Source organism: Homo sapiens, chromosome 15 (genome assembly GCF_000001405.40).
Source record: "Homo sapiens chromosome 15, GRCh38.p14 Primary Assembly".
In the NCBI taxonomy this organism is placed as follows: domain Eukaryota; kingdom Metazoa; phylum Chordata; class Mammalia; order Primates; family Hominidae; genus Homo; species Homo sapiens.
In genome coordinates, this window is record NC_000015.10 from 68,479,868 (window position 1) to 68,494,751 (window position 14,884).

Genomic DNA, 14,884 nt, shown 5'->3' on the forward strand with positions numbered 1-14,884 from the left:
AGATGAGAAAACTGAGGTCTTAGCATGGGGCAGGGAAAGGGACTAATATTTGTAAGGCAGAGGTACCACTAGGCCAGGGCACTGTGCTGGGCACCTCTCCCAGATTGTTCCATTCCCCACGTTGTTCCACATTAGCCCCACTGTGGGGTGCGATCATGAATGCCTTGTTTTCATAAACAAGGATACAAACTCAGAGGCATAACAGAGCTTTCCCTGAGTCACACAGCTAAGCAGGGAGCTGAGATGAGAACGCTTGTTTTTCTCAGTCTTCAGGGTGAGTTGGAGATCAACTGTCTAGCCAGCCGGGAAAGAGCCTGTGCCTGCAGCTTTCACTGACATGTCAGTGCCACAAGGGCAGGGCAATATCTCTTTGTTCCTTGCTCTATTCCAGTGCTTAGAATGGAGGCTGATACATAGTAGGTGCCCAATAAACATCTGTTGCATGAACGAAGAAACAAGCAAGCAAGCATTTATTATGCTCCACCTCCATGCAGTGACTTGTCTTCACGGAAGATGAAATAGTCCTGGTCCTTGGGGTGCTCTCACTTGAGTTGACCGGACAGGTTGTACACAGGCAAATGCTGGAAAATGGCCCCAGGTGACACAGGCACACATACGAGCCAGGGGTTGTCCAGTTGGGTCTGGGTTCAGGGCAGCTTTGAGGGGATGTATTTCACCAGTGCTCCACCCCCTCCATTCCCACTGTGCTCTGGCAGAAAGGAAACTTGGTCTTCCCAACCAGGGTCTTGACCTGAAAAAGACTTCTGATTCCCCATGTCCAGGTCTCACTAGCCTTCAACGCTTAGCTTCAGTGCCATCTCCCACAGGGATCCTTCCCTCATTCCTTCCGCTGGCAGGGATTTCTTCCACCTCTGAGCTCCTGTAACACTCGACCAGTACCTCTCTTGTGACACAGGCCTTATCTTCTTTACTGACCCTAGGGTGGGTATCTGGTTCACTGCAGTAGTCCCAAACGCCTAACAGAGAACCTTGACAAACTTGTGCTCCCCAAATGTATGAGTTGAGTGAGTGAATGGAGGAAAGGATGGAGAAGTGGGTACCAGACAGAGTTGCCTGGTGCTTTTTGGTGTGGGTGGTTGTCTTCATGATACAATTGGAGGAACACAGAAGCCCACTCCCCTGATCAAATACCCCCCAGAGTGGTGCTAACCCCTTGCACCTGCTATTAGCCATTTACTGCTTTGAGTTAAGGTAGGGGTAGAGAACCTCTGTCCCCCTGGCTAAATGAAGCCTTGCCTTAATTTCAACTCATGTATGGAGCAAGAAGCAACAAGCACATTCTTATTTGGTGCTTATAGTTGCAAAAAAGGTGACATGGCTATAAACACCTTGGTATAATGGCCTGGAAAAGTGATTTTCAAATTGTGTTCTGAGCCACCCCTGTTTATAGGGTTCCATAAACAGCTTGCTTTTATCTCCCTTATTGGTTTTATGTTTTTCCCATTCAATTTGTTTGAAGAAATTTTACAGTAAGAAGTTTATGGATTCCCAAGATGAAAACATCCCACCCTGTGTCCCCTTCTGCCTGTCTTTCTCTATGTATCTGGGTCCCCCCAGCCACCCTGGGAGCCTGGACCTGTGTAGGTGGTGAGACAGCCAGGTGGGAAGGGGTCCCCAAAGAAACTCCAGCACTGGGGTAGAGCCTCAGGAAGTTTGCACCGTTTGCAGCGGGGAGGAGCCTGGCCCCTCCTTTTCCTGTGTGGAATCTGGGATCCAAGCTGCCTGCAGGAAGCGCTCCAGCAAGGGGCTCTGGTCTAGTGAGAGTCCTTGTTTCCCCCTTTTCTTCCTTTTCACCCAATAAAACCCTGTCTTACTCACCAAATTGTCTGCAAGCCTGAATTTTCATGGCCATGGGACAAAGAACCCCGTCTTTAGCTGAACTAAGGAAAATCCTATAAGAGTAGCATTCAGGAGATAACCTCAGGCTTCATGTTGCCCTCTCACCAGATTGCAAGCTTCCAGAGGACAGGAGCCGACCTTATGCATCACACGTGCTCCAGCACTGGGCACACTGCCTGGCACCCAGTGGCTGTTGGGTGTTTCTTCTTTAGTTTTTTTTACACAAAAGGGGGAAATAGAATGGATGGATGAGATGGTTTGAGGTATTGGTGCAATTGTTGCTAGACATTTGACAGATATATCTGGAACACTGTGGAGAAATGGCTGTGGGAATTTAGAAAACCCAATCAATGGAGGCTGGTGGGGGACCGGGGGGATAGCCGTTCGGTCTAATGCTAGCCCAGCACAAGACCAAGGGCAGGCCCCTGGAGAGGCCGATCTCCATTTCTTGCCTCCTGAGGGTCCTGGTGCACATGCATGGGGACATGTCGGCTTTCATGTTCCAGTCTGTCCACACCCCTCCAGAAAGCACCCACCTCTTGGCCTCCTTTAGGGCCCAGGGATATGTGCCCTCTTTAGGAGGAGTGGTTCTGGAGAGAACTCTCTGGAAATGGGCTTGTGGACATTTGACCAGGGAATTTGGGAGTCCCAGGAACTGGAAGTGTGGCCAGAGGGGAGGGGTGGGGGCCCCAGGTAGGGACATCCCTTTGGGCCTGGGAGCACCTCAATCTCTCTGGAAAGATGCAGTCAGAGGAGGGCCAGCGTAGGAGCCATGCAGGAATCCTGAGGGCCAGGTCTAAGGGGTGAATGCCAGCGCGGAAGAAAGGGTTAAATGCCACAGGAAATAAACATAGTCACTATTTGACCCATCTGGAACCATTTCTACACATAGTAACGGAAATGTGCTTACTGATTTAATTAAAATGTGTGCTTTTGGAAATATGGGAATAAAGAAAGTGGGAGAGTCACAGGTAAAGTGTTAAATCCCAGACTACCAGGACAGGAGGTTAAGAGATTCTGTAAAAACAAGCAATTCAAGTAATAACATTATAAATACATACATATTTATTTTTAAAAACTTGGAAATCGAAACCAGAAGAAAGAGCTAAAAGAATTGAAAGTTGGTGCCATTAGGGAAGGAACCAATGATGGAGGCAGGAGATGACAGTTTTTCATGAATTTTCGTAAAAGAGAAGATATCAGCCAGGTATGGTGGCTTATGACTAGTCTCAGCTACTCAGGAGGCTGAAGTGGGAGGATTGATTAAGCCCAGGAGTTCGAGGTTTCAGTGAGCTGTGATTACTCCACTGCACTCTAGCCAAAGAGTGAGACCCCAGCTCTAAAACCAATTAAAATAGAAAAAAAAAATAGAAGAAAATATCCATGTATATCTTTACGTAGAAGTTTGGTACTCACTATTTGTTACAGCTATATTCTGATTATCTTTTGTTGTAAAACAAATTACAAAACATAGTGGCTTGAACCATTGCCTTTTAATTATATCTCATTGTTCTGTGGGCCAAGAAATTCAGGCAGAGTTCAAATCAGCAGTTCTGTGTTCGGCGTGAAGTTGGCAGAGGTTACTCAGTAGCAGTCAGCCGGGTGATGGGCTATCAGCAGGTCTAGGATGGTCTCATTCACATATGCATCTGACACCTTGGCAGGGCAAGTTGGCAGACTGGGCTCAGTTTGGACTGTTGGTCTGAGCATCTACAAATGCCCTTTCCAGTACTGGAGGTCTCAAGGACATTCAATATAGGAAGGACTTCTTCTATCATGGCTCAGGGCTCCCAGAGACAGTGAGGGCCAGGTGAAATTCTCAAGGCTTCTTATGGCTTAGCCTCAGAAGCCCCAGTCCATCACTTCTACCATGTTCTGCTCAAGCAGGTCCCTAAAGCCTGTCCAGCTGCAAGAAGAGAGGAATTTGACCCAGAGCAGTAGCAAATAATTGGTGGCATCTTTAATTTCCACATCTACCTTGCTCCTTCTAAGGATTTGAGGTAGTTTATATTATTTTTTAAGCAATAAAATAATTAAAAATGTTTTTACAATATTAGGAATTTAGAAAATGTGTTCTGGCCCCTGCATATCTTTTTGTCTGTTCTTGTTTATGTCACTGATTAAGACCTGCTGTGCAGTGATGAATAAAAGTGGCAGTGCAACCATGCTGGTCTCATTCTTGATTTCAGAGGGAAAGTGTTCCACATGGTACTCCAAGTATCACATCTGCGGTAGGATTTTTGTAGGTACCCTTTTATCAGCTTAATAAAGTTTATTTCTGGCTGGGTGTGATGGCTCATGCCTGTAATCTCAGCACTTTGGGAGGCCAAGGTGGAAGGATTGCTTGAGCCTAGGAGTTCAAGACCAGCCTGGACAATATAGTGAGACCCCATCTCTAAAAAATTTTTTTAAATTAGCCAGGCATGGTGGCACACTCCTGTGGTCCCAGCTTCTAGGAAGGCTGAGGCAGGAGGATCACTTGAGTCCAGGAAATCAATGCTACAGTGAGCTCTGATTTTATCAATGCACTCTAGCCTGGGCAACAGAGCAAGACTTTGAATAAAGAAAGAATAAAAGAAAGAGAGAGAGAAAGAAGAAAGGAGGAAAGAAAGAAAGAGAAGGAAGGGAGGAAGGAATGAAGGAAGGAAGGAAAGAAAGAAAGAGAAAGAAAGAAAGAAAGGAAAAGGAAGAAAGAGAGAAAGAAAGAGAGAGAGAAAGAGAGAAGAAGAGAGACAGGAAGAAAGAGAGAGAGGGAGGAAGGAAGGAAGGAAAGGAAGGAAGGAAGGAGAGCAACAGAGAAAAAAGAAAGTTTATTTATATTCCTAGTTTGCATTCCTGAATTTGTAGCACTATTTTTGAAAATAATGTGCTTATATGTTATTTTGGTTAAATACAAATTAAAAATGAAAGATGACTTTGGTAGCCATGTGGAGGAAGAGCACAAATGATGAGTTTAGAGGTGGGGAGGCTGGGGGAGACCAGGGGATGTCTGGGGGGAGGGCAGCAAGCCAGGGCCTGTGGAGAAGACTTTTTGGTGGGAGGGGTGCCAAGGCAGGGACTGAGTGAGGAGCTGCAGGTCTGAGTCCCCAGGAGACTCACATGTCGGGGGACTGAAGGGTCATATGAGGACAGCAACACCACAGGGCAGGAGAGGCAGGCATCCCGGGCTGGCCACGACTGAGATGTGGGGTGTGGAGGCTTAGTCCCGCCTTGGCTGCTGCTGCTGCGGTGGCCGGGTGGGCCCCTCCGGTCATCTCTCTGACCATCACTCAGGCACCTTCATGACAGCTGGGGAAGGGGCCCAGGGTTTCTGTGGCAATAGGGCACAAAATCCCAGAAGAGGAGAAAGAAAGCCACGAAATCAATTCTGGCTCTGAAATAAAAATAGCCAGTAGTTGAGAATTTTAAGAAAGGAAAAACAAAAACAGTGTTGGTATATGAGTCACACTGACTTCTCCCAATTACCAGCTTTTAGGCTCCAAATAAAGCTTTCAACGGAGGAGCCTTGGAATGTCAGTGGTGGTGAGGACGCCGAGCTCCGACCCCTCCTGCCAACCTTGCGTTTGGCGCTCTCCTATGGAAACAGTCATCCTTCCTGCTCAGAGCTGTATGCCTCCTCTGGCATATGGAGCCAGGAGACCTGGCCCAAACTACACCCCTCTTTGGGCCTCAGTTTCCCCCTTGGCAAAGCAAAGAGCCTGGACTGATTTTCATCTTTGACATGGCTGTTGTGCTCAAATATGGCTGAGTGCTCAAAGAACACTCAGTCAGGACTGAGGACAAGACAAATGGCAGGAATATTCCAGACCCTCTGTCAGTTTCAGGCCTGTGAGCATCAGGTGAGTCCACCCTGCTGAGCGCAACTGTCATGTAAAGTCACAAATGCCACGTTCCCTCATAAACACTGACCTCAGGACCCAAGTCCTGTGGGATCCCATTCCATAGAGCAATGCACAGAGACCCTGATGCACAGCAGGCTCAGGAGTTGCCAACACTTACTGATGAGGGGCACGGGCATAGTGGCTGAGAGGCTCTTGGCAGCCTGCAGCTGGACGGCCAGGGTTTGAATTCCGCCTCTAGCTCTTACCAGATGAGTGATGTTGAGCAGGGTCCCACAGGAGATGGATGTTTGAGCAGAGTTTGCAGGAGGGGCTGTTTACAGAGGTGTGTGCAGAACCCACAAAGCACGGGGCAGCCCCAGAAGGCTGTGCAACCTCTGGGACTGGAGGGGTCAGGAGCAAGGGCAAGGGGCATGTGAAGAAAGTGGTGGCAGCTAGAGCCCTGGGAGAGGGGCCGAGGGTGGGACCTGTGGCCAGGGGAAGAGGAAAGCAGCTCTGCTAAAACCAAGGCTGGTAGGAAGGAAGCTGGGCAAATACTCTGACCCCCTGTACTCCTGCCAATGCCCCTGTGGGCTGAGTCCAACTAGAAGCCAGAGGACAAGGCAGTGGGTAAAGTTGAGGGCAGAGATCAGCCCTCAGGACACAGAGCAGGGAGGAGAAAGGTGGAGGGTGGGTCTGGAGGGCAAAGACCAGCACATGTGAACTTTCTGGGCCTCCGTTTCCTGATTTGTAAAATGGTGATGATAACAACACCCATGGCATTGTACTATTGCCAGAATAAATCTCTCTCTCTCTCTCACTCTCTCTCTCTAGCTCTAGCTCTCTATCTATCCACTTATCTGTCTATCTATCCAGTACTTACAACAGTGCCTGGCACACAGGTGTAATGTATAAACGTCTGCTATTTTACCTATGTTATTACCATGCTCCTGCTCGCATTTGTTCCCTTCCTCCAGGCACCCAAGTTTTCATCTTCCCTTTTACCCCGATGTGCTTCCTGTCAGCTGGCTCTGGGGAAGAGTCTGTTAATCAGCTGCCACTAAGGTATACATAACTGATCATGGCTTCGGGAGCTACCTCTGCCTGGGAGCACTTGCATTTTACAGGAAATGCTGCATCTTCCTTAGGGCGTGAAGTTCTGATGGTGGAACCTCAGGTCTTTTGTTGCTGTTGAAATTACAGGTGAGTGGTCTCTTCTTCCTGCATTGAATAATAATAACCAGTGGGGAAGATACTGGGGAGTAGGCAGGCTTCTGGAGTGCAGAGAGTGGCCCCTGCCCAGGGACAGAGCCATGAGCCTCTGATAGGAAGAGGTGGTTAAGCCCCAGCCACTTGCCAACTTTGCCAACTTGCCAACTCTGGAGAAGCCAGCTCTGACCCTGAGCCTGGAAGAGGGGTCCTCTACCCCTCAAAACTGGGGCAGAGCCCCTTCAGGGGCCCAGATAGGGAGGTGCTCAGAGAGGGGTAACATGGCCCCAGGTTCCCCAGGAGGCTGGTGATGAGTCTGGGATTTGAACCAGGAGGCCTGACACCCAGGCCAGGGTCCTTCTTTCCCCTGCCCCCATCCCACCCTTCTCTGCTCTGGAGTACACACCCTTGAGTGGCTGGAGACATCCCTGGGCAGCTGTCTGACCTCACAGTTGGCCCTGGAGCAGCTCAGCCTTTCAGCCAGAGGGAAATGTGTGTCCCAGAGAGTGACCCATGCTGAGTGTGGATTGTTCGTGCTGCTGAAGTCCCTCCATCCTTGGTTCTGTCTGGCAGTTATGGCCTCTCTCCTTGGCCAGGTGGCTGTGGCCATGACTCTCTCCTCATTCCCATCTACGGAACTGCCCCTCAAGTGAGGTTTCAGTTGACCTCAGAATGGCCTTCTCTCCACCCCACAGCCTGAGAGTTCTCCAGGTCATTGGTCATACGCTCTGGGACACACATGTGAGCTGATTGTTTATGCAGTGTTTGCTCACAATAGCAACAAGCACCCCTTCTTCTGCAGCCCGTTGATGGCAAGATGCTGTCACACAGGAGGGACTACAAAGTAGCTGGCAGCAGAAAGCATCCACAAAACAAGCTTGGGCTAGTGAAAGCATCTGGCAAACAAGCTCAGGCTCAAGCAATCATCATAAAAAGAAAAGAAAAGAAAAGAAAAAAAAAAGCTCAGGCTCAAGCTCTTTCCTCTCAGCTCATGACTCATTTGCACACATAGGCCTTGCTCCATGGTGACAGGGTCAGCTCATCTTGGCCACTTCGCAGACTTGTGAGCCTTTGTGAACACTGACATAGCATCACTTACAACCCAGGTGCCTCAGATTCCAAGGCTGAGAAGAGGAGGCTGTGGGACATCAAGGATCTTAGAAACACAACGAAATCTCAAGACATTAAAATTGAAAGGTTCTGAATTTTGCATGAATGTGCAGTTTTCTTGTGGCCTGAGCTTCCATCAGATTCTCAAAGTGCCCTTGTATTAGTCAGGGTAGACTAGGTAATGCTGTGATAACAAGCAATCCCAAATTCTGATAACAGAATCCCAAGTGACTGATAACAAGGGTGAATCTTCAGAGAGCCACTGGATGGAGTCTCTTTCCTGTCCCTGTTTTTCCCTAACATCCAGCTGCCCATCTATGTAAGAATAAACTAAGCAACAAAAGCCAAATGTAACCAAATAGTCATATTGGTTATCCCTTGTGTGACAGATACACAAAGAACCAGGTGTTTTATGAAGCATGATCTCATTTAACCTTATGAGGCAGAGGAGGAAACTGAGGCTTGCAGAACGGAAGTGACTTTCCCTAAGTCACCTGGCTAGTTGTTTAGTCAGAAGCTGGGCTGAGATTTGAACCCAAGCCCCCCCAGTAGCTACACTGACTGAACACAACCACATGCAATGTTTCCAAACACATTGGTACTGGTTCTAGTACTTGTATTGTGCTTTTGAGTTTACATAGCATTTCCATTAGTTTGGCAAATATTTACGGAGCACCTCCTGTATTAGTCCGTTCTCATGCTGCTGATAAAGACATACCTGAGACTGGGCAATTTGCAAAAGAAAGAGGTTTAATGGACTTAAAATTCCACGTGGCTGGGGAAGCCTCACAATCATGGCAGAAGGCAAGGGGGAGCAAGTCACGTCTTAACACAGATGGCAGCAGGCAAAGAGAGAGCTTGTACAGAGAAACTCCCATTTTTAAAACCATCAGATCTCTTAAGACCCATTCACTGTCACAAGAACAGCATGGGAAAGACCTGCCCCCATGATTCAGTCATCTCCCACCAGGTCCCTCCCACATAACGTGGGAATTATGGGAGTTACAAGATGAGATATGGGTAGGGACACAGAGCCAAACCATATCACCTCCCATGTGCTGGCACTGTTCTAGATGCTAGGGTTCTAGGGGTGAATACAATTGACACAGGGCACATGGAAGGGCAGAGAATGGATTAGGGGTAGCAAGGAGAATTGTTGGACCGGTGACTGATGAGGAGTCAAAGCTTTAACTGGAAGGAATGGCACCTGCTGGGAGCTTCCGGCTCCATAGCATATTGACCAGAATCATTCATGCGCCTCCCACAGCAAACTAAGTCACTCTACCCACAAGGCAGGGGGAGCTTGCCTGAAAGGAATCTTGGAGACGTCTCCACACCACTAAGCCTGGGCTGTTTTTTAAACTGTGGAATCACATTCATCATTTTGTCCCCAGTGGCATGGGATCTGGTTCAGAGAATATGTTCGCCAAATGTTTATGGAATGAATGGATTAACAAACAAATGAACTGATGGATGGTGACTGAGGCTGGGCAATGCCCTTTTACTCTACGGGCCTCAGTTTCCTCATCTGTCCACCAAGGTGATGTCCAAGGGCCTCTTTCTCACTGACATCTGATGACTAATATGACAACAGTGTGCCTTTGTGACTGGAAACCCTGCTGGTCCTCTCTGCCCAAACAGAGCCTGTGTGTCAGTCTCCAAAGCTGACTTCTGTATTGTCTGGGTAATTTTGCCCCAGAGACAATTGTTCACACTGTGATTATGGGAATCGGTTCCAGCAGCATTGTTGTGGAGATGGTTAGGATTCTCTAGGGCCAGGGTAGCTGTGCTGAAGGACTCTGTGGCCAGGATTCATGGTTGGATGCAGACGGGTATGACTCTAGGAGCACAGACAGGAAATGTTTTTTCCCCAAATACCTCTTCTGCTGCTGCCTGAAATTCCACCATTTGTGATTTATTCCACCGGGTTCAGCATTGCCCTTTCCTTTGGTGGGTCTTCTCTATAAATACTAAAAGCCTTTGTGGAATGATGGAGCTTTTAAATAAAATTCAATTCTTTTCTTCAACTTATTTTTTAGAGATGAGGTCTCATTCTGTCACCCAGGCTGGGGTGCAGTGGCACGATCAGAACTCTAACTCACTGCAGCCTCGACTTCCTGGGCTCCAGGGATCATCCCACCTCAGCATTCCAGTAGCTGGGACTACAAGCTCACGTCATCATGCAATTTTTTTTAAGAGATGGGGTCTCGCTATATTGCCCAGGAAGGTCTCAAACTCCTGGGCTCAAGGAACCCTTCTGCCTCAACTTCCAAAAGTGCTGGGTTTACAGGTGTGAGTGACAGCACCCACCCAAATTCAATTTCTGATTGCGTTTTATGTGCCAGCCTCTGCACAGAGGGGCTGAGGTAGAATCAAAAATAATAACTATGACAGTAATATAACTATACCATTTTTTCAATTAAAAATTTTTAAATTGAGACATAATATTTGTACATGTTTTTGGGGTACATGAGATAATTTGATACATTCATATAATGTGTAAAGATCAAATCAGGGTAATTGAGATATCCATCACCTTAAACATTTATCTTTTCTTTCTGCTGCGAACATTAGAATTATTATCTTCTAGCTGAAATGTATAATAAATTAATGTTAATTATAGTCACCCTCCTTAGCTATCAAACCCCAGGTCTCATTTCTTCTATCTAAGTGTATATTGGTACCCATTAATCAACTTCTCTCCATCTCCCCGCTCCTCCCTCCTCTTCCTGGCCTCTGGTAACCACAAATCTACTCTCTACCTTCATGAGATCCACTTTTCAGCTCCCACATGAGTGAGAATATGCAATATTTATCTTCCAGTGCTTGGCTTATTTCACTGAACATAATGACCTACAGTTCCATCCATGTTACTGGCAGATGATAAGATTTCATTCTTTTCTATGGCTGAATACTATTCCTCTGTGCATATGTACCACATTTTCTTTATCCATTCATCCACTGATGGGCATTTAGGTTGATTCTATAGCCACCGTTTGTTGAGAATTTAGTATATAACACATTGGTTACATTAGCTCTTACCTCAACCGTTGGAGATATGTATGTATCTTTGGCCACATTTTACAGATGAGGAAATTGAGTCAGAGAGGCTGAGACACTTGCCCAATGTAACATAAGCGAATTTCTCCTGCTGCATAGCCACTATGCCACAGCCACCTGGCTTATGAGGGTTTATGTCTAGTGGGGAGAAAGACCTGGCAGTAGAAGAGAATCCATGCTAAACAGAGGAATAAGCAGTGAGCCATGGGGCAGCCAGATGTAGATCATCAGAAGGCTGAGATTATATGCCAGCTGGTTCTTGAAGGACAAGAAGGAATTTCGTATACTAAGAAGGAAAGAGGGAAGTCATGCCTGGGAAAGTTACAGGAGCCAAGCCCCACACTGGGCTGTCTGTATGTTGGCCTCAGGTTGGGTGAAGAATACAGTGAATGGAAGTAGAGGCATGAGTCCTGTGGGCCAGGTCATGGAAGTCAATGGGGGAGCCACCAAGGTTGTAGCAGAGTGGAAACCCATGAGTCTGCTTTGAAATACTCCCTCTCTTGAAAAACTGTCACAGGCTAGAGAGGGCTGGGCAGACATAATAACTAAACATGATAAGGCATCCTGGATGGGATCCTGGAACAGAAAAAGGACATTACGAACAAAACTGATGGTACCCAAACAGGTATGGAGTTTAGTTAATAGTAATGTACCAGTGTTGATTCATTAGTTATGGCAAATGTATCAAAGCATTTAACAATGGGGGAAACTGGGTGAAGGGTCTATGGGAACTCTCTGTATTATCTTTGCAAGTTTTCTATAAATCAAAAACTCTTCTTAAATACGTTTATTTAAATAAAAACATTTACTCCCTCTGCAGGCAGTGTGGAGGATGGAGTTGAGTGGGGAGGGTCAGGATGCAGACAGCGTGTGTGAAGGAGGCCACCACCACCCTACTGTGGCAAGGACCTGTGTCCTGTGGGGGCCAGGGGGGCTGGAAGGAAGAGGGCAGAAATGGGAAACACACTGACACTGGGGGAGGCAGAATTTGGCAACTGGTTGGATGTGAGGGCTGAGCTGGAGGCATGAGTCAAAGGTGACGTGACTCTCCTGTCCCAAGCCCAGTGACAGGCACAGAGCAGATCTCATAAAAGGAAGGATGGGATTGCCATAGACCAACCTGGGCAGCTTGGGGAGAGAGGAAACATACCAAATCCAATACCACTCAGCACTCCCGTGTTCTGATCATAATGTTGTTTATTGGGTAGCTAGATTCTTCACAATGGTGCCTCCCAAACTATTGGTGGTCAAGAACCACGTTTTGTTTTTGTTTTTGTTGTTTTTTTTTGAGATGGAGTCTTGCTCTGTTGCCCAGTGTGGAGTGCAGTGGCGCGATCTCGGCTCAATGCAACCTCCGCCTCCCGGGTTCATGCCATTCTCCTGCCTCAGCCTCCTGAGTAGCTGGGACTACAGGTGCCCGCCACCACGCTTGGCTAATTTTTTTATTTTTATTTTTAGTAGAGACGGGTTTTCACCATGTTAGCCAGGATGGTCTCGATCTCCTGAGCTTGTGATCCGCCCGCCTCGGCCTCCCAAAGTGCTGGGATTACAGGCGTGAGCCACCGCACCCGGCCGTTTTTTGTTTTTTAAATGTATTTCCAGTCCAGTGAAGAGCAATATTTTGGTCTACATCCTGTTCAATGAGATAAGTCCATGGAGCCAGTGTCTGGATGTCAGGCATTTTTAAAGTGCTGTAGAAGTTTTTGAACCCTTACTCTCCATTTCTATTTTTATCTCACTGCAGACCAGTTAAAACATTGTTTATGGACCGGCACTAGTCCACTTTAAACCTCCAACTATCCAAGGGTTAGGGACTACGAATCTCAATTTACAAATGAGAAAACTGAGACTCAAAGAGGTTTAGAAACTATCCAAGGGCTCACAAAACTGGTAAGTTGCAGAGAGTAGGGATTTGTTCTGTGATCTGTCTATCTCTAGAAGCAAAACTCCCATCTGCTGCCCGTGACCCATCAGTGTTCATGCAGTCCTGCTGCTGGCCTCTTGCCTCCTGCCCTGCAGGTTGTTTTCAAAGCTTCTCTTCACTCCTCTTCCCTGGAGGCTGAATCATGGGTTGCTTTGACTCAAGAAAAGGAGGATGTGGAGGGGAGTGTCTAAAAAACCTTTGCCAGAGGTGACCTCATAACCATCTCCCCGGGACTCAGTGGAGCGTGCAGAGAGCTCAGGCCAGTGGAGACCTCAACAGAGTGGCCAGGAGCACCGACCCTCACACTGGCATAATTCCCAGTCTCTGCTGCTGACAGACTGGGAAGGGAGGGAGGTCACACAGGGAGGAAGGTCCAAGGCTGGCCCCTTTGGTGAACTCAGGCAGCACTTAGCAGCAGCTACAAATAACAATGGAAAGGTTGGAGAACCCATCACATGCCAGACACAGGGCTAAGTGTGCAGATACCGATTTGTGTTTACTTTTGCTCTGTAGAAGAATCAGGAGGATGAGGTCTATTTGGTTTTTACTTTTCCCATCGAGTTATCTCCCACTCTGAGACTGAAGCTGGACTTTTGGGCTCCCTCTCTGTAGGGCCGTGTGCAAAGATGAGAGGGAAGTATGTTGGAAGCAATCTTCTTTTCAGGCTTCTGAGAAAGCCCAAGCTTACAGAGGACATGGTGCCAGAGAAAGGCACAGACAGTGCTTCTGGAAGGCAAGGTGGCCACGGAGAGTGGAAGATTCTCCAGCCCTCAGGAAAGGGGCTGAATATCTGTGGGTGTATGAGTTGGGGGACTCTCCTGGGGCAATGGCTATACTGTTTGCCTAGGGAGGCTTCCAGCCTGTTCAAAGATGCATTCATTCATTAAAGAGTCACCAAAACTCCACTGTGTCTAGGTCCTGGGGACACAGTGATAAACAAGACAGACTTTCAGAAAATAACCACACATTTCTTGCACATTCCATTTCACAGAGCCCGAAGCTATCCTCCAGCTCCTGGCTGGAATAGTTCCTCTTTGCTTGAATTGTCCCTTCCAGCCTCTGCTTGTTTGTCCTATTTCACAGCAGAGGACACTCTGGTGCTCAAAACCTTGATATTCAGTGGCTCCATTTTGGCAAGGATAAAGCGCAGACTCTTTGTCAGAGCGCAGGAGGTCATTAGAATAGCATGAATGGTATCACCATCACTTGCACACACTCCTTGGGTGCATGTTTCCCCCTCACCCTCTAGGACCAGGCTCAGCTGCTGCCCTTCCAGCCTCATTTCCCAGCACATGCGTTCCCCTCCTTACAGTTCACTTTCCAGTCTCTGCTCCCTTCCTCAGAATGCTTCCTCTGTTCCAACTGAGTTCTGGATTTTTCATTTCTCAGCATTTTGAAATCTTACTAATCACCCAGGGCCTAGCTCACATATCACCGCCACTGGGAAGCCTTCTGATTTCCATAGTCAGAAAGAACAATTACCTACTCTCCATTCCCAGCCAACCTGACTTACACATACTCATTATAACCTCCTCACTCCTAGCCAACACTTTGCATTTCTTCTGAAGAACACATTGCTGGTAGGCTATCTCTGTTTGACCCTCACACTCTGTTCCTGCCCATGTAGAATCTGCTTATCAAGGCAGTGTATTAATCAGGGTTCTCCAGAGAAGCAGAACCAGAAGGATGGATGGATTGATTGACTATGAGGAATTGGCTCACACAATTATGGAGGCTGACAAGTCCCACAGTCTGCTGTCTGCAAGCTGGAGACCCAGGAAAGTCAGTGGTATATTTCAGTCCAAGTCCAACAGCCTGAGAACTGGGGGAGCTGATGGTATAAATCCCAGTCCAAGGGACACAGAAGATGAGATGAGATGTCCCAGATCAACAGGTAGGCAGG

General features: G+C 47.5%; 1 long non-coding RNA gene across 10 annotated transcripts; it reads right to left on the minus strand.

The window, feature by feature from the left end:
- Positions 1 to 3,333: 3,333 nt before the first annotated feature.
- On the minus strand, positions 3,334 to 7,820 carry LOC105370873 (uncharacterized). Of its 10 annotated transcripts, none has more exons than XR_932409.3 (4): positions 7,333 to 7,820; positions 6,610 to 6,899; positions 4,960 to 5,233; positions 3,334 to 3,766 (listed from the first exon to the last, which is right to left on the minus strand). It is a non-coding gene; the product is annotated as an uncharacterized LOC105370873 (long non-coding RNA). The 10 variants fall into 10 exon arrangements; XR_932408.3 differs by having other exon boundaries at positions 4,960 to 5,170; positions 6,777 to 6,899; positions 7,294 to 7,820; XR_932404.4 differs by having other exon boundaries at positions 6,777 to 6,899; positions 7,294 to 7,820.
- Between the last annotated feature and the right edge of the window lie 7,064 nt (positions 7,821 to 14,884).